At 35.3% G+C, this 21,123-nt stretch overlaps 2 annotated features.

The window, feature by feature from the left end:
• Positions 8,591–9,121: an enhancer, noted in NCBI's record as "H3K4me1 hESC enhancer chr7:15638304-15638834 (GRCh37/hg19 assembly coordinates)". NCBI's record gives its function as "activates a minimal SCP1, AML or CMV promoter by ChIP-STARR-seq in naive H9 embryonic stem cells {active_cell/tissue: H9 hESC(naive)}" and the evidence as "EXISTENCE:reporter gene assay evidence [ECO:0000049][PMID:30033119]".
• Positions 9,122–9,650: an enhancer, noted in NCBI's record as "H3K27ac-H3K4me1 hESC enhancer chr7:15638835-15639363 (GRCh37/hg19 assembly coordinates)". NCBI's record gives its function as "activates a minimal SCP1, AML or CMV promoter by ChIP-STARR-seq in naive H9 embryonic stem cells {active_cell/tissue: H9 hESC(naive)}" and the evidence as "EXISTENCE:reporter gene assay evidence [ECO:0000049][PMID:30033119]".

Consider the following 21,123-nt stretch of genomic DNA (forward strand, 5'->3'; position numbering starts at 1 on the left):
TAGTAGCTTTGTTTATAATCACCAAAAACTGGAAGCAACCAATATGTCCTTCAGCATATGAATGGGTAAATAAATTGTGGTACGCCCAGAAAATAGAATATTTTTCAGTGCTAAAAAGAAATGAGCTACCAAGCCATGAAAAGGTGAGGAAAAACCTTAAATGAGTAGTGCTAAGTTGAAGGAATCCAATATAAAAAGTTTAAATATTATATTATTCCAACTACAAAAAAAATGTGGAAAGGCAAAACTTTGTTGGCAGTAAAAATATTGATGATTGTTGGGTTTATAGTGGGGAAGGAATCAAAGGATGGAACACAGAGGATTTCTGAGACAGTGAAAATTCTCTACAGCATACTATAATGGTAGGTACACGTCATTAATGTATTTGCCCAAATCCACAGCATTTAAAACAGAGAGTGATGTACTCTTATGTAAAGTATAGATTTTTGATGACAATGTGTCAATGTAGGTTCATTGATTGTAACAAATGTGCTATTCTGATGCAGATATTGATAGTGAGAGAGATGTTGGGGTGAAAGAGCAGAGGGTATAAGGGGATTTTATGTACTTTTCATTTAGTTTCACTGTGAAACTAAACCTGGTCTAAAAATAGTCTATTAAAAAATAGGTTAAAATAAATTAAAGAACTCCAAAGTAAATGTGTTTATGGATAGGAAAATTTACTGTTATTATCCCATATTCAAGGATTAGAAAACCTACTATTATTAAGATAGCAATATCTACAGATATCAAAGTGATCAACACAATCCCTATCAAAATTCTGACAATGTTTTTGGCAGAAATGACAAAATCCAATCTTCAATTTATATGAAATTGCAAAAGTCTCCAATTATCCAAAGCAATAATGAAAAATAAGAAAAAAGTCAGACTCACATTTTCCGATTTTAAAAGTGTATTAAAAGCCATTGTAATCAAAACAGTATAGTACTGACATAGGCTTGAAATATGGACCAGTGAAATATAATTGAGAGTTTAGAAATAAAACTATAAACATCTATGTTCAATTGATTTTTGACAAGAGTCCCAAGATCATTCAAAGGAGAATGAATAGTCTTTTCAAAAACTAGTTCTGAGAAAACTGGGTATCCACATACAAAGAATGAAGCTGAACTCCTACCTGCTACCACACCACATAAAAATTAACTCAAATGGATTAACAACCAAGAAATGAAAGCTAAAACTATAGAGCTCTCAAAACAAAATGTAGGAGTAAGTATTTATGACCTTAGATTCCTTAGATTAGGCAATGAATTCTTAGATATGACACCAACACCATGAAAAACAAAAGACAAAATAAATCAGACTTCATCAAAATTATGAACTTGCATGCATCAAATAATATATTTAACAAAGTAAAAAGACAACTTACAAAATGTGAGAAAACCCTTTTTTTAATTTTTATTTTTTTTTGAGACAGAGTGTCGCTCTGTCACCAGGCTGGAGTGCAGTGGAGCGATCTCGGCTCACTGCAACCTCCACCTCCTGGGATCAAGCAATTCTCCTGCCTCAGCCTCCCAAGTAGCTGGGACTGCAGGCCTGCGCCACCACACCCAGCTAATTTTTTGTATTTTTAGTAGAGATGGGGTTTCACCATGTTGGCCAGGATGGTCTCCATGTCTTGACCTCGTGATCCACCCGCCTCAGCCTTCCAGTGTGCTGGGATTACAGGTGTAAGCCACCGTGCCTGGCCAGAAAATACTTTCAAATCATGTATCTGCAAAGAGTAGTGTCCAGAATACATAGAGAACTCTTACATAGAGAATCCAGAATACATAGTGAACTCAACAACAAAAAAGACAACCCAATTTAAAAATGGGCCCACTACTTGAATAGCCATTTCTCCAAAAAAGAAATACAAATGGCCAATGAGTACATAAAAAGATGCTCAAGGTTTGTCATTAGGGAAATTCAAATCCAAACCACAATGAGATGCCACTTTATACCCACAAGAATGGCTGACTAGTATCAAAACAAACAAAGAAAACATAAGAAGCGTTGGAAAATGTTAAGAAATTGGAATTGTCCTACATTGCTCTAGGAATGTAAACTGGTTCAGCCACTGTGGAAGACAGTTTGATGGTTTCTCAAAAAGTTAATCATAGGAATATCATATGACCCATCAATTCCACTCTTAGGTGTATACCCCCCATAACCAAAAACCCATATTTAACAAATACTTGGACCCATAGGTTTATAGCAGCAATATTCGTAAAAGCCAAACGGTAGAAACACTCCAATGTCCATCAACAGATGAATGAACAAAAATGTGGCCTCTATATAAAATGGAATACTATTCACCCATAAAAAGGAATAAAGTACTGATACACGTTAAAGCAAAAACGAACCTGGAAAACATCATGCTAAGTGAAAAGTGAAACACAAATGTCACATACTGTATAATTTCCATCACATGAAATACCCAGAATAGAAATTCATGGAGACAGAAACTAGATTGGTGGTTTCCAGGGGCTATAGAAGGGTAAAAGAGAGTACTTGTTTAATGAGTATAGTGTTTTCTTTTGGGACGATGTTTGGAATTAGATAGAGATAGTGATTGCCCAAAATTGTGAATGTACTAAATGCCACTGAATTGTTCACTTTAAAAGGGGTTAATTTTATGTTGTGTAAACTTTACCACATTTTTAAAAAGCACCCCTGTTTTAAGATATCAGAGAGCAAACAGCATAGGTAGGACTTGATAAGCCAAGGTCCTCAGGAGAAGAAAAGTGAAAATAAGTCATCCTGACATTTAGTGATAATTCCAGGCATCAACTAAGAGGCTAAATGACTGGACTGAGAGAAAATAGTTGACAGAACTTGAAGCTCAGTATAACTTTCAGCAATGTGTTGGAGCTCAAGGTGAGTGCAGGATATGGGGCAAAAATTAAAGTTCTTGTCTCCAATAATGAAGAGAAACCCAAAGAGTTGCAAGAATAAGGAAGAATTAGAAATAGATCATCCCTACAATAGATTAAAACTCAGCTTCAGATTACTTCATTCCTAATTGAATTAAGGCTATATGCCGTACCCTAAAAGAATTTCAGAAGGAAACAAATCCTTTCTGGAGAAAGACAAAATCATCCAGATCTCCAGTGCTAATGAATGTCTTTGTCAAGGTAATGAGACCAAAGATGGGGCCCAAAATAATAGACTTAAAGCGAAATTAACTGAACTATCTACCGTCAGTTTCAGTGTTAAAATAGAGAATAAAGCAGAAGGAAGAGGCAAATTTGACTTCAAATTCTACCTCGGGCATCTAGGAGGATGGCAGTGGTATAAATTGAGTAGGACATAACACAGGAGGAGTGGGTCTAGGAAATGAAAGAGCTAATAAGCTTGGATGGGGATTTATTACACTTTGAAGTATCTGTGGATTTATTCCAGGTGGAGATGTGTCCTATTACAGGAAAAGCGTCTAGGAAAACAATATTTTTTATATGTCTGGACCTGACTGTTTGCATTTGCCATCACTGGCAGCCTGGATATGCATGATGTGAACGCTTTGCCACCTGTTACTGTTCATCTGAAATAGCTATGTGGTGAAAGTCTAAAACATACAAATTGTCATATTGGTAATGAGCTCTTCTAAGTGCATAAAGGAAAAGCAAATTTATAAAAGAGAAGTGGAAGTATTACTTTACATATTTGAAGTAAAATTCATAAAACTCGTAGTCCATTTGTTGAATCTCAGTATGGTTTTCCCACTCAACTGGAAACGTGATGCTACTGAAACATCAGTATAGGCTGGAAATATATTGTCTCCTTTAGTTTGCAACTTTACAGAAGACATTCCTCTCTCAATTCCGGCCTATATATAATGATTTAATAATATTTGAAAACTGTGGATAACTAAACAGATTTACATTTTTAATTGCTTGCAAGCTTTAATATGATTTATAATTACATGAATATGCTAAATTCTATGTGATCTTTTCTCTTTCTCTCTCTTGGCATATTTACATAAAAATCCCTTTCCAATAAATGGTAATTATTTTCATGGTGAAAAATGAGTCTATAAATCACTCCTAGGCTATATGAAGAACAAATATTTAGTGAAAAATGATTAAGCCATTCATAAATTTGTTATCCAAAGGAAAATAATGCATTTTTACATTCAACACAAGCATATATCTTATAAATATATTATTTTCTTGATTATAGTAAAGAAAGTAGGGTAGAGATCTAAAAGTAGTGTTTATTTTCAATGAATAAGAAATGGGGATGGGGGACTACAAACACTTTAACTGCAGGAAAAGTTTCCACCTTGATTTTGATAGAAAAGCCAAATGGTTAGTTTGGATAATAATTACTATTATTATTTATTGAAACTTTCAGAAAGGTGGTGAAAGAGTATAAGAGCCAATCCTGCTAACTGTTTCAGAACCTCAGTTCAGCTATTTAGATTTTATCCCCTCCTGGTGTCTTTCCCTTAGACAGCTTTCTAGTGCAGAGGAGAACCTGTACCATCCTGCAGAGGCTCTGTATAAGCAGAACCTGAAAGAATAGGTGCAGGCTTGTTAATTGCGGTCAAGGAAGGCATTCCAAGCAAAAGGAGGAATGAATTCTGCCAGATAAGTGTTCAAGATAAGCTACAAAGCTACAAAAACAAACAAATGAAACTTGGAGCATTTGCTACAATGTTAGCAGAAGAAAAAAAAATATTGCGGCCAGGCCCTGTAGGCTCATGCGTGTAATCCCAGCACATTGGGAGGCCAAGGCGGGTGGATCATCAGGTCAAGAGATCGAGATCAGCCTGGCCAACATGGTGAAACCCCGTCTCTACTAAACATACAAAAATTAGCTGGGCGTCGTGGCGCGGGCCTGTAGTCCCAGGCACTCAGGAGGCTGAGGCAGGAGAATCCCTTGAACGTGGGAGGCAGAGGTTGCAGTGAGCCAATATGGTGCCATTGCACGCCAGCCTGGTAACAGAGTGAGACTCTGTGTCAAAAAAAGAAAAAAAAATTGTAATCCAAGGTTTGGAGATGTGACTGTACCACACAGAACTAGTAAATTGTGACTACAATGTCTGGGGTTTCTGGGAGTGGCTGGAAATACGCTAGGAAGATTCCTTAACATTTTCTGTATAATAATTTAATGAAATAAGTTAAAATCATTTTCCTGCAAAAATATATGAAGACATATAAGGGCTGTAGCTATAATCAAACAGACTGATATATCCTGGATTATTAAAATTACTTCTCTACATGTTTCATGTAAAACCTACTGTTGGGAAATATACATTTGATTATATTTTGAATTATAAAAATATTTTCCAATCCTTAATATGCGGCCATAATATTCATTTACCGTATATGAGTATTTTGTTAAATGTCATTTTGATTGTGAAAGAGACTCTTAGTTGAAAATTTCTGTAATAGTACTTGCCAAGTAAGGCTAAAAATACTTGTCATTATACCCAATTTCCTAGAGCTGGATTTATAGACATTTTAGAGAAAAAGCTACTAATAACAGCAAAATGTAATTCATTGACTAACAAAGTAATAGTAATTTAAATATAATATCATAGAAGCAGGAGTGAAGAGCAAACACTTTTCCTAAACAAGGGCAAAGGTTGCATCAAGACCAAAGTAAAGTATATTATAAATTTTTTGCAGAAAGGCAGGGGTAAGATACAGAAAAATAATAAATTATGCTTCATGTAAAAATATAAACCAAAAATATAGCAGACAAAATCATGTTTTTATAAAGTACTATTTTAATTGGTCTTGTAAAGCCACTAAGTCAAAACCATAAAGTGCAAGAGTTATGTCTTTAGTTTGTTCATATTCTTTGTGCAAATCACCTACCCCTCCTTTTGTGTCATGCTTCCCCTACTTAGGAACACAAGTAATTTATATTCTCATTTTTCATTTCCCGTTGTAGGGGGAAAAGTTATCACCCTAAATAGATTTTTGTGGTAATCTCCTATAAAAAAATATGTTTCCAAAAGTCAGAACTCAAAGCAATAGTTTAAGAACAGAACAATATTAAAAACTAAAGGAAATTAGGGAGCCAGTCTTCCTTGGTCCCTCCAATTTCAACCTTTGTGCCAACCTCAGAGATTTGCTCACAACTGACTTGTGATTATCAATAGACCCTTGCTCCTTCAGCTGCATCAGATGCTTGGGGGCAGAGAATATACACACAGATACCGACATTTTGAATGAAAGATAAAATAATTGCAATTTCCTATCAAGGTTTTTTTTCTAACTAAGGATCTTTAAAATGAATTCAAAACACAAAGTTAAAAAAATTTTCTAATAAGAGGCATAAAGGAAGAAATAACCTTTATTGCTGTTGACAGAAGACGACTCCCTAATCATATTTTTGATAGACCATACATATGTAAAGCTTACTTCAATCTAATGTGTAGGTGTTCTGGAGCTCTCCCTTTGACACAGGAGTTCTGTAATATTAACCGTCCCAGGATTATGCAAAAGAGCAGCATCCTGCCATTGTGCTTTTAGCAATAATAGGCCCTGTTTCCTTACCTTTTGAGTATGTTCTTATTTTGTTATAATATTTTATTCTTCCTTTTCCTTGACTGGCTGCATAAGATCTATATGGTGTATGATGTTTTTCTGAACACGGAAACTTTTTCTTCATTTGTGTAAAATGTCACAAGCTACCGACTGTTTACAAGGAGATTAGGAAGAGCAGTCCCAGGCAAATGGTGTGGGTTACAGTAGAAACTCTTAAACTTTTCTCTCTTGATAAGTTCTTTCCAGTCTCATGTCATATGATCTAGACAGATGTCGTGTTTTATTAGGAGCTAAAAATGGGAGAAGACTATAAATACGGTGAAGGATATGTAGAAGCTCCTTATGACTATGTAAGTCTAATAAAAAGGAAAAAGCTACACCTTTGAGATGAGATTTAGGCATCGTATTATCTCCTCGGGTGCAGAAAAGTGGTAAATTATATTATAAACCAGATTAGTTTTTGTCTTTTTTTAAAGCTACTCCAAGACATTAAAAGGCATTGATTGTTGAAAGTAAGTGCCTGGAACATCTTTCAGAGATGCTCCAGAATGCTGCACTCAGGTGAAAGCCTGGATAAACCCATTGACACCTACAGTGGATTGAACCTGTGAAAGTAGGACCATGGAGTGTCTGATCTAAACTTCTAGCAAGAATTTTTTTTTATAAAAATCAATTTTATTTATTAATGAACAACGATAGATAATACAAGTTAATAACAAAATTTGGTTAAGCAATGGACAGAGCAAGTCATTGAACTCCCTAGAAAGATGATCATGTAACAAGATCTAGGTAAGAGAATAGTCCTATGCAAAAGCAAGAGTAATCATTCATCAGTCAATGTTGGGTACAATTCAACGTTGGTTGTCCTATGCAGTTTTGTTGAATTGCATAGTTTATAGTCATGTTACTTAAAAATATGTAGTTACGTGATTTGCTACTCAGTCACTCACTACAAATAGACAACATAGATTAATTTTTGCCATTAAAAGTTAAATTGCAGGCAAAAGAATTTACAATCTCATAATTTCATTATGGTCTCAATATACCATATGTTCTAATTGTTTAATTTGTGAAATTAGTAATACTGTCAGTTCTCCTTGAAACCCAGGATCCATTTGTAGGATGAGAACAGTAGGATAATTTGCAAGATGCTGGCTAGCATTTATCAGCATAGAACAACACTAGACAAACTATTAGAGATAATTTAGGAAGAAATGGAAAGATATTTTGGACCCTACATTTAAGCATCAAGAGATCTAGAATCGTAGATGTTTCATGATTTGAAAATATTTCTAGTCTACGTCATTTTCCCTTAAACAATATTATGGTCCTCTCTTTTTTCTTCTCTGCTGAACAAGGGTAGCCAGTGTTGATTTGTGCTCACTTATTTTCTTAAAATATTTCAGACCATTTTCAACTTAATATGTGGGCTTGGATAATGTCCGATTCACTTGACTCGGAGAGAATCTGAAGTGATAAATATCTAGTGAAATTCGTATACTCCATGGCAGATCATGGGATCAGAAAGCGACCTCACAGGGTGAAGGGAGAAGCTTATAGCAAGAAGCTGAGTTTTTCTTTCATTCTTGACTGTTTCTTCCATCATTCGTTCTTATGATGGAATGATTAGGGTGTGAGGTTGGAGAAGGAATAAAATTTGGAGAGAAGCATAAAATGTGTTGAGGGTAAGGATTTCTTATGTTTTATCTATGAATAGCAAAATATATATTTTTGAGGCAGTTGTATGTTCTTATGGCTGCAGAAGAAATAATAAAACGTCCCAAGTCTGGTCTTTTTATAATTACTGTACTTCAGGATTGCAATAGAGCAGTACCATTGAACTTAAAATGGGGTACTGATTCCATTAAACGTACAAAAATAGTATATACTTTATTATTGACTTTAGTTGAGTATTTTTTATATAGTGATGATGTAGGGAGTTCCTTCTTGATGTTTTTGATATTTAACTACCTCATTTTCTGACACTGCAGTTTAAATGCACATTTTGCATTGTGTTCTTTACACAACAATAATAACACTTTTTTCCGTTTTCATGTTTGTTCTTCCCATAGGGTTTTGGCACTCGAACTGATTAATCTTGGCATATATTTTCAAATGATTAGGTATTAACCTGGAATGCTGTATGTGTGTATGTGTGTGCACATGTGTCCATGTGTTTTCTACTAGTGAAAATAATAATATTAGCATTTCCAAACTAAAATTCATTTTAAAATCATATATAAGTACATTTATATGCTCTCCAAAACTTTAAAAATTGTTCTTTCCCTAATGCTCCAAACTAGTATTGTTGCCTTAGGTGTTAGGGGACATACACTTCATGCAGTTACTACCTGTGGCAGATAAAAGTAATTACTGTTATTTAGGGTGCTAAATATATTGTCCTGGGATTCTTGGGGCAATGTTTTTCTGGCTGGAAACCTCTGTGGCCAGTGGCACCTTTGCCGAGTTTTGCTCAGGCCTGTTGGGCTTGTTCCTCCCACTTGGCCTGGTAGGCTGCACTCAGCTCATGCTACTCGCCTGAGTTCCACACCTGCGAAGGGTGAGTCCAGCATGGAGCGGTGAGGGGTTTGTGGGCAAGCGTGAGGTCTGGCCACTGTGCACAGCCAGACATGCTGGCTGCAGTGAGGCAGGCTGGCTCCCTGTGAGGCTGTGGCTGAACCAGTCATACTACAAGCAGCTTCCATGCTGGCACCAAGGAATGTGGTGTTGCCCAGAAACTTGGAGATGCCAGGAACTGCAGAGCCCCAAAAAGGATCTCATAGCCCTGGCTGGGGAACCCCTAGGTCTGGGGTCTCCAAAGGGCCACAGCTCTTCTCTCCTTCTCATTTCTCTCCTTCTTGTTGCAAGCAACATAGTGACCAGAGGGTGTATTTCAGCCTGGTTTGTATTATAGCTCTTTTAGTCCCGCCATTTGGCAGGTCCCAATTTCTTGTTTCATGCCCAGGAAGAATGAGATATGCAGACAAATGGAGGGTGAGCAAGGCAAAGAGGAGCTTTATTGAGTGATAGAATAGCTCAGGGGATACTTACAGTGAGTAGCTCCTTTCGGCAGCTGGCGTGTCCCAGTGAGTGTTCAGCTTCCAGCAGAGAGGAGACCCTGGAGTGGAAAGCTCCTCTCCACAGCTGGCTGTGCTGTTGTCCCTTCAGCTCTCAGCAGAGAGGAGACCCTGGGGTGGGCAGATCCTCTCTGCAGCTGGTCGTTCCATCCTCTACTTGAGTCTGGCTGGGTCTGAGGCTTTTATGGGCCTCAGAGGAGAGGAAGTGCATGTTGATTGGTCCATGGGCAGTGGCTGGAAAAAGCACAACAAAGACCCACTCAAGTCTGCTGGACCAGCTGTCTGGTCCCCAGGCTTCAGGCCCTCACTGACTTGAAGGCAAGGCTTCACCAGAGACCTGCCCTCTTTTGCCCAGGAGCCTGTCTGCTTCCTGTCCCCATTTATGGTGCCCAGGCTGTCTGTGCCAAGGGGTGCCTGCAGATTAGCACCAAACTGCCATCAGCACCCTCTCAGCCCTCCCTCCCATGCTTGTTGGTGCCCAGAGTTTAAAGGGACCATGGTGGCAAGGGGAAGGTGTGTGTGAGCACTGCCCCAAGAGTGCGCACACCCGGCTGGGTTGCAGCAGTGCCCAGGCTCTGCCCTATCCTCACTCCAAGATTGGAGCATGTATGCCAGGAGTGAGGAGAAGCCAGGCAGCAGGAGCACACACCTCCAAACCTGCTGAGGTGGGGGGCCTTCCTGAGCCCCCAAGAGCACAGGAACACCTGGGTCCACACTGTAACTTGGGCTGCTGCAGCTGTGCCCAGAAGGGCAGGGCTGCTGCCTTCTCTTAGTCCCCAAGATCACAGGGAGGCCGCCTGGGCAGCCACGATTTGGGCAGCTACAGTTGCATCCGGAAGGGTGGGGCTCCTGCCTGCTCCCAGCTCCTGCTGGCTCCCTGGAGCATGCAGCTCAGCCACACCTCCACTGCAGCCAGCATCTTGGTGGTGGCTGCTCCAGGTGGGCCACCACTGCTATCAATACTATTTCCAAATTTCAAGCATGTGACTTGAGATAATTAAATACTTTACAAAATTCGCCTCAAGATAATTTGTATTTTAGAAGTTTTGCTGTTTTACTAGATAAAATAAGAACAAAGATGGTTCATGAAAATTCTTAAAATTAATTATAGATTCAAAAATATTTTTTCTGGCCAAATGGTGTTTAAAATTGTTATTCTTTACATATCAGGGCAATTCAAAAATGTTGCTTCTGGAAAATTATCCTCTTTTTTTGGTAGCTTCATAGATTGCTAAGCTCATTTATAGAGCTTTTGGTTCAGTTGGTCTGGGGTGGAGCCTGAGAATTTGCATCTCTAGCAAGTTCCCACTACAATGAATTCTTCTGTCTATAGGTCATAATAACAAAATCCTCTTATACTGCTATAATAGGGAAATTTTTAATCTAAAGGCAATACCTCCAAATTACTCTTTGTTTTTTTTCTGTATTCTCCTTCGATATTTAAAATGCTAGTTCTGTTCATAGCCCTGTGTCTGGAAGCAAAAACTTTCCATTTCTTATTTGATACTTATAAACCACAACTTGATGAGAAACAAGATAACTAAACTAAAAGAAATTGGATGTAAGAACAAACCTTCCACTTTACGTCTCTTGGCTTTAAGAGACCCACTAATTACATGATGAGAGAGGCCTCTAGGCTTCCTTTTTGTGGTCCTGTTTGCCTTGACTACAATGGCTGACATTCTGACTGTAACCAAGTAATATGTAAATTATAATGGTTTACAATGCTAATGATATGTCCATTGAGATTAGATTGGCTAATAAGGTGAATCTGAGACCATTTCTGGAGTGATCAAAACACAGGCTTTGGAGTTCAACAGTTCTAGAGAAATATAAGCCTGAGCTCTGCCAGTTACTGGCCTCTGTGATGCTTCAAGTAATCTTCAATAATCTCACCTGAAACCTGGAACGATAATGGAATCTAGCCACTGAACTACCATGAAGATTAAATGACAGAATGTATTAGCTGTATTGCAAGCAGAAAACAGGTCACACATAAGGGCAATAACAAAGTTAGATTCATATAATGATAATAAACTGTTCTAATTGTAGCAATATTCATATTCACGCTTTAAAATTTATCTACAAGAGAATTTTCTGCTTTGCTATATACAAGTTAGAACAGTATCAAATATGTCATCATGAATCTGTAGTAAAACTGAGACAAGCTTTAATACTTCTAAAGATTAATATATTTAAAGAAAATAAATTGATCATTTTTTCCTGCAGGGAGCTGAATAGCTCTATTGAGCCCTATTTCCTGCAATTACAAAATGAGTTCCAATTAATAACTATGGAAGACTGATTCTAGTTTCACTAAATTAATTTATGTATTTTAGGATTGGCTGTCATACTTTTCAGGTCACTGTTCCTCTTTCATCTACTTTCATTTAAAAATATATAGTTGGGAAGATACTGTAGTGAGAAAATATATAACTTTGATCTAGTCAATAATCTTGATTTAAAGTAAAGCTTTCTCTTCTTGTTGATGGTGGAAGTGAAGTAGTTTAAAAGTTTTACAGCCTTGCTATGCAACCTGACCTCTGTAACACCCAAAAAATGGAATGCTTACATGCCATGCTTAAATTCCATTTTACAATATGGAATACCATTCTTTCTCAGTATAATTTGGTCATTTTAGGCAATTGTAAGCTTGACACCTGATTTCACTTTAACAGCACCTGCCCAGAGCATAATTAGCAGCCTGTTTTTTAAAAAGGACTTCCATACTGCACAGATGGCATTCCTCATACCAGACAAGCAATGATGTGTGTTGGAAACCAGCCAAACTGTCTGCAAAAAAATGTGAGAATTTCAAGATGGGCGTTTGAGAAGAAGGAAAATTTTCCCTTCTTCTCTAAATCATATATGAACATCTCTTAAAACATGATCTTAACTTTTCTACTTATTCTCTTCTGATTGCATATTATTAGTGCAATGATGTTTGAAAGATCATAACCAGATTTTCGTTTTGATTTGTGATATTTGTAGACTGCCTATTAAAAAATATTCTAGGGCTCCATTTTCAACTATATTAATTTAGATATAGAGATATTTTTTGCATGGATCTCATGCCATTTAATTCATGCAATTATTCAAAAATATTTATTGATCATTGCAAATTCTCAAATTCAGAGTCAGTGCTTATAGTTGTGCAAATTATGAATTGGGTATAATTTGCACAACTATATATATATATGAAGGGGGTATAATTTGCTTCACAATTAGCATAGAGTTATATCATTTTTACGGTGGTCTCCAGGCAATGGTAGTCTAGTGTTTGAGTCAGTAGTACCCTTTTCTAATTCATACAAATTCTGGATGTGGGTTGGTAATGAGGTTGCCAGAGACCATTCAAAGTGCTAGAGACATATACATAACAGACAGTCTCTGCTCTTATGAAACCTACACTCAATAAGGGGAAAAGATCAGTAGATAACTACCCAAGGGGTAAGAGAAAAACAATGCTGTACTTCTTAAAATGGTAGAATGTCACAGATAGTGCCATTTTGTTTGAGAAGGTCCGATATTAGCTATGTGAAGAAATAAAAACCTAAAGGAAATGAGGGAGTAAGTCAAATATATGTGGTGGAAGAGCATTCCAGGCAACAGGATTGGGAATACAGGCCTGAATGAGACATAAGTGATCTCATTGTGGGCAGAGATCAGGAGGAAGCATGAGTGATTGGAGCTGTGAGGCTATTCGGGGAAAGTGTTGGCAACAAGATAGGTGACCAGTGTGTGGCCAGATATTACAGTGTTGGGAGGCCCAGGTAAGAATCTTGGGGTTTATTCTAAGTCATTGGAGTGTTTTCTGCAAAGAAGGGCTATGATCTGATTTGTATTTTTAAAAATGTGTAAAAATGTTTCATTATGGACCATTACACCTTCACATGGTATCTTACATTTGCAAGTCACTATGAACCGCTTATTAATCTGATTTGCAATTTAGAGGGACCGCTCTAGCTGCAGTGCAGAAAATTGATTACATACAGCAGAAGAAGAATGGAAAACAGGGGAGACAGCTATTTTCATGTGTTACATTACCCTAGACAGTTTGTTAAGTGACTTCAGGGTAGGGCATTGTATTCTGTCCTCTTGCCCGGGGAACTATCTAGAACTTTTACTGCTGCTTGGAAAAAAGTCACTGTTTCATACAGCTTTATTAATAAAATTTTTTAATGCAGATGACTTTTTAAATTTTGAACATGTTCATCAAAATTATTTTGAACATCTTTAAGTCACGTTTTGATTGTTTTATGTAATCAGACTCTTGATTAGAAAGAATAACAGAAGGAACCGTAGATGCACTCAAACTCCTAAAGTAATTATTTACAAGAAATAAACTTTTTGCACGGTCTAATGACATTTTATACAATGAAAATGTATAATATTTTCAAAGTAACAGCAATAAAATAATAAGTAATGGTCAAAATAAATTTCAAAATATAAAGCATAAATGTCAGAATCAATATTGGTTTTGCCGCATTAGCTTGAAAATTTACTGGTGGAAAAATAGTAATGGTTAAACACACAGAAAAGATAAGTCATAAATGTCAGCCAGCCCTTATTAACTGCCTCTGAAGGTACTACAAGGACAGCTTTGGCTGCTCCTAGCCTGCACTTACAGAAATTGAATTGCTTTGTGCATTAACAAAATGGAACTGGGCTGAACAATGTCCATAGAAATGCTGAATAGGCAATTATTTAAAATGTTCTCCAAGATTGAGGAATATATTAACAGAAACCAATAGCACAGCAAATTAAATGATGATTGAGCAGAACATTACCTAAAATTAGTACAGAAATATTTATAGAATGAATGAATGAATTAAATTGACTATAATAAAATATTGGCCAAGGTAGCGTGAAAAAAAATTAAAGCAAATTTAAAGTAATTTTATTGTGAACAATTTCTTTGCATTAATTTTGTAATATCAGAATGTTATATAGGCTTCTCCATAATGGTGTCCACTAATAATTTAAAGTTTTTCAATAGGTGGATGGTACATTTTAAAAAATTAACAACCAAAGTCTTCATGAGGAACAAGAAATGATTTTCTATTTGTTTCTATTTGGCTCTCACTATAGCAACTTATATAATGCTTTGCATGCATGAAATGTTTAATTTTTAAATTTATTTTCTAGAGATGGGGATCTGGCTCTGTTGCCCAAGCTGGACCCCAGCTCCTAGCCTCAAGGGATTCTCCTGCCTCAGCATCCTGAGTAGTGGAAAAATTTTAGTAAACAATGGATCTTATTATCACCAATAATTTTATAATTAACATTAGCATGTACATGGGATCTTTAATACATCTGGAGTTCATTTTGATTGCTCCTCTAAAAACTAAAAGACCAAGAAAAAAATTCCCTCAAAGTATTTGTTTCTTCCTCTTCCTAAGACCTGATGCTTCTGTTAAAAGGCGCAGTTCTCACACCCACCTGCTCCTCCATGCCTGTTTCTAGTGCAGTCAAGGAAAGTTTACCACAGTGGTACTTTTTAAAGGTATATTTTTATCTTTGCAGCTCTATCTGGTGTTTTCTCAGCTGCATATGTGACTTGCCTGGAAGACATGGCTGGTAACTCCTAGAAGAAATCTAAATTTTAAAGATGTAATCATTAAAAAATACTTGTCATTATAGATAGGTAGCTTTATTGTTGTGGCTTTGTTTTTCTGTTTAAAAAAGCTGTTGATTTTGCCTTTCTAACTTTTTGTGGATATACTACTGCCCCTAAAGGAAGAAAATATGTTTAAGGGAGACATCAAAGTTTGTCTGTGTTCTTGTTGTTTTCCCCAAACCAAAAGACCTAAGAGATTTAATAATTATTATATTTGTTACTATTAAGATATCATTTGTATGACCTCCTACTAAGTGAAACAATGTAGTTATTTAGTGTTTTAGAATTTATGTATTATTAATAAGAAAAAGATTTACTGAAAATGAAATAAGATATATTCATTTAGTCTATTGCTTACATATGTAAGACATGAGTCATGAATGTATAGGTTTTTTCATTTGATCAATTTCTTTACTAATTACCTGTTGCTTTTTAAAAAATAACATACTCTGGAAATTTACCAAAGTAGCAAAATGCTTAATTTTTAACTTTATAATTTTATAACTACATAACATGACATATACATACTTAATACACTTAATATGTAAAAAGTTCTTACCAATTAATAAGAAATGAAAATGTTACAACTGAAAAAAAATTAAAAATATGATCAATAATTTAAAAACTATAATTATCAATAAATACATGAAGATGTTCAACTTCATTAATGATTGAACAAATACAAATTAAAATATGCTTTATCATCAGATTGCAAATAATTTTTAAAAATTCTAATAATTAAAATTATCCTATTTATGGAGAAATAGGTATTGGAATGAGTGTAAATTTGCAATACAAAATTGATAATGTATATTTAAAGTCCTAATAATAAACATACTTTCTTGTCCCAATAATACAATTTCTACAAAATCCCTTTATGGGAAAAATTAAATTTTACAGAGAATTATGTAAAAAAACACTTCAATGTTATTAAAGGGAAACTTGGAGAAAAAAATATCCAATAGTAAGGGATTATTAAATAGCATATCATAGATCCATAAAAAGAAATACTGTTCAGCTATTAAATATATTTATATTTTATTATTATGCAAAGAAACACCTTAGCTTACAGAGCAGCATATATGGTATATTTCCAAAATTATTTAAAAATATACATTTATACAGATATATATTTTCTAAAACTATGTATCATGTGAATAAAAAGGTTTGTCTTATATGTTCTTTTTTAAAAAAGCGTTTATCATAAGGAAATATCTGAACATGATTTAATGTATGTTAGCATTGCTTCTCAGCCTTTTGGCTAAGATCAAGTGTAATATGTTGTTAGCAAGGACACCTAAATCTATATGAGGTTTCCAGAGAAGAATATGGTCACTACTGAACATCTCTTCATTTAACCAATCCGATTTGTGGTCTGTTGTTAAATTGAATTCAAACAAGATATATCTCCTTTGATTTTTATTTCATAACATTTAGCAAATATTTTATTTCAGATACAAATGATAAGATTTTGCCCAATCATCATTCTTTGACACTGGCTACAATCACATGCCTCCAGTAAGCAAAAATTTGCCCAAAAATGTGGTAGTCAGAGGCAACTTTGAAAGGCTTATTTCACACGTTCTTCTAAAAGAAGTTGAGTTGGTGATACTTTTATAGAACGTGCAATTTCATGAGCCAATTTCTTTTTTTGCTATTGAACAATTCAAGAAGTATTTTTAAGTTCTCTATCAGTTTAGCATCCACTTTTCTTTCAACATTTTTTGCTGCTTTTAAATACCTAAACACCTGCTTACACCATATATATCTGTGATCATGAAAAATTACTGTATTTCACTGTCGATGAGTCCAAAGAAAATAATTAAACTCTGCCCTAGAAAAATAAAAGCCAAAGAAATAATCCAATTGAATTAATAGCTTGACCCTAAATAACAGTTTGAGTCCAACATTTCATCAAATAGGAAAATTAGAAGGATCTTGACTGATTGTTTTCCTTTATTGACAGTAGTATATTCAGGAAAAGGTAGAATAAACCGCCTTTCTTTAAAGAAAAACAAAGCCAGCAGTGGTAATTTTAAAAAAAACTACCTATCCTTAATGACAAGTATTTTCTAATCATTGTTTTTAAAATTAATATGTATTGAGGAAAAGAAAATTTTTAATGTTTTCAACTATAGTTATTACACATATGCAGAAACAAAGCCTATACTTAATTATAGGACAATTGATTGTTCCCAAAGCATCTGATTACTCTTTAATTTAAAAAAATACATGTCTATTTCAGTGAATCACTATTTGAAGTACAGAAATACAAAGTACAGCCTAAACTTGATATTACTATGTCCTCAAATCACTGTATCATCTCTTCCATGAAATGAATGTGACAATAATTTGTATTTGCAAATTCATTCTATTTTGGGAGCTGTTTCTGAAAACCATCTGTAACCAAAGTAAACAATATTTTAATGGGGGATTACTGAGCTGGCTGAATACATTGTGATGCAATCAAAAGTTTTCTGGAATTTTTCAAACCACAGTTTTAAGCTGCATTTGAATAAAACTTAGCTATTAAGGGGAAAAATAATTCATAAAAAAATTTTTAGTCTTAAATATACTTTCAATGTATTTAACCATCGTAAATGTGAAGATAAGAGTATTGTAAAAATACATGATATCAGAGAATTACTTAAAGAAAAAAACATATTTAAATTTTGAGCCGCATATTTTTATAGGTTCTTAGAGTTTGGTGTAGCAATCCTGTTTTCTGGAGCCATTTTTGTTCCTTTGTCTACGACTTCTAGCAACATTTTGCAAGAGTTGAAAGCAGAAATGTTGAGGTGCCCATGAGGATTGTTATTCATTACCCTGACCAGCTTTAGGCAGGAGATATAAAAACATAACCAAAAAAGCCACTTTTATGACAGTATTTGCAGATCAATCCTGCGTATTCCACGCTTGTAAGATTTGGAATGTTTGTAGCTGAAATTTATTTTTCTTTCTAGATTGCTTTTTACTGAAAGAATGCAACAAAGAGAGCTGCCAAGAAAATACAGTTATTCCCCCAAATAGTTCAAAGAACTATGCCAGGTAAGTATTTGTTGTTCATATTTTAAATATTATATTATAGTCTAAATACTAGTCACCTCAAATATGAACTGAATTATTTTAAAAGCATTTTATTAGAAAATAGGTCATGGCATAAATGGCTGCTTCTTAAAAGTCACCAGCCTCAGTGTATTTAGAAATTAAAGTGAAAAATACTTTCTTTAAATCTTTTCAGTCACTACCAGGATACTCTGTTCTTGAGACTGATTTTAACTGTATAGTTTCTCAAAACTTCTGTCAGGCGAAAATTAGCATCTGCTGTCATCAGTACGCCAGGAATTTAAGAAATGTTCTCAAAAACGAGTAGCATTGGAAATATAAAATATTTATTTTTATAACTTACTAAATATTTATTTTTATAACTTACTTTGTTTTAAGTTGGCCTCTAATCTTTTTTTTTTTTTTGAGACGGAGTCTCGCTCTGTCCCCCTGGCTGGAGTGCAGTGGCGCGATCTCGGCTCACTACAAGCTCCGCCTCCCAGGTTCGCGCCATTCTCCTGCCTCAGCCTCCCGAGTAGCTGGGACTACAGGCGCCCTCTACCGCGCCCAGCTAATTTTTTTTCGTTTTTGTATTTTTAGTAGAGACGGGGTTTCACCGTGTTAGCCAGGATGGTCTCGATCTCCTGACCTCGTGATCCGCCCGCCTCGACCTCCCAAAGTGCTGGGATTACAGGCGTGAGTCACCGCGCCCGGCCAAGTTGGCCTCTGATCTTAGTTTACTAGTCTGAGAAAAGCTTTTATTGAATTTCACAAGTGATTCCCACATTTATTACATGTAATGGCATTCATAAGCATATTAAAAATGTGATTGGGATTATTTTAAATGCATTTATTTCAAATTAAAAAAACAAAATGACAAACTCAGGTATTATGTATGGTTTCTGAAGAGGAAAATATAGTCTGACAGCAGATGGTAAATATGGGAAGTAGGAAGTAATTGGGGTCGTGTGAATAATGAGTTAAAAATATGTGGATCAGTCTTTGGAAAAACTTTGTAGTGTTCATCCTTCTGAATCCTACTGAAAAAAAAATCATCCTAACCATGATTTCATACTATTTTCAGAGAAAGGTGCTTTCATGCTGTTATGAATTTCCACAGAGCCACAGGGTCTGAGATAGAATTACACGAAAAGGGCATTATGCAATAAGATACCATGGCATGCCAGGAACCCAGTGTAGATTAAAAACAAGTAGAGTTCTTTCAGATTTTTGGCACCTTTGGAGTGAATTAAACCCAGATAGTTCATGAGAATATCTTAATTTTCCTCAAAGAATTTTAATTCCAAAAGGATATTGGGGTATAATGTAGCTAACCTATGCATCAGTTTGAAGACAGGAGGATACTGAAATACTTTAAAAAGATGGCAAGTTCCACTAATAAAAATTACTCTGGCTTCCCTGTTTGTCAGTGTGTTGACAATGTGATAATGTGTCAGGTGTCTTATGCGGCAGGCAGATCATTTTAATTCATCATAAAGAAAGTGATGTCTCTTTTCAGTCAGCCATGTGGCCTTTCCTACCACTTTGTGTTCTCTGGATCAAATTTCATTTCAGGATTGCTTACAATTCTCTAATAAAGATATGGCCATGATACAAAAACCTCCCATTTCCCGAATGTTATATCTATTCGGAATCCCTTTTTCCTATTTCATTTTCTTACTACATTGGAATTCTTACGTCTATTTGGCTACAACCATTAGCTCTCCTTTTAGCTACTTCTAAGGGGTCCTTTTCTCTTATTTCTGGAAATTATTTTCCTGCCCAAATGAATTATCCTCCACTTTGTCCCTATTGAACTCAATTTGATTCATATCTTCCCACTTCACTAATTTGTCAAGATGTTTTGAATTTAAATCCTCTTCTACAGTAAGAAAGTCAGTCCACCCAAGTAGATGTCATCAGCACAAGCAGACTTTGTATTAATTCAGGTGATTAATGGAAAAGTGTCTGTTTCATGCCTGGGAGACCTCAATTCGAATGGTCTATTCTCAGTTAATTTTAAAATACTGACAACTACTGAGGTAAAATGTATTACATGAAAGGAAAATGTGATACAAAAAAATTATTTATTTCTGGGATACTCTCTATATATCACGCTAGATTAAGTTAAAATATATCAAATTAATTTTTGTCAGTCTGATCATTCTAAAGCAAGTGTAATCAATTAACTGATGGGTTTTTGGAAATTTTTACTGATTGTTTTTCTGTATTTGTTTCGGATTGAGGCAGGGGAGGAAGGCTGGCAATGTTTCCAAGCATTTCTGCTTAGAATATGAAACAAATGAAAAACAATGTGATAAAGCTATAAGTAGGACTAAGGCACCCCATGCGTGTGCAATCATGCATGATGCAAAATACATTATGTTAATAGCATCCTTTACTTCTTGCATTAGTCCCATTAGAACTGAGGACTCTGATTAGCTTCTTTAGCTTATATTTCACATCAGAGACTCTGCATATTCAGACTATAAAACCACTGTTGGATTAACTTACATATATCAGACATAACTTTAAAAATGTATGACTATTTTATTTTCCTCACTGTGGTGAATACTATTATTTAATACTTTTTTCCTACTTTTATCTGTGGCTTCATAAAACACACAAAAAAATCCATTCACTGTATTCTTCAAATTAGAGAAATAGCTTAATATATGCCCATTCTTAGGCGCCCTTTGATTACACAAGGATTTATTTTTTTCCTGCCATAATAAAAAAATTCAGAAATGAAAAAATGTAAATAATCCACTAATTATAATCATCTGGATTTGCACAAGTGCAGATAGATTTGAGACTTTGTTAATCATTGATATTGAAATCTATAAAAATTAAGAAAATTAATGTAGGGAGACCAAAG

Source organism: Homo sapiens, chromosome 7, assembly GCF_000001405.40.
Source record: "Homo sapiens chromosome 7, GRCh38.p14 Primary Assembly".
NCBI lineage: Eukaryota > Metazoa > Chordata > Mammalia > Primates > Hominidae > Homo > Homo sapiens.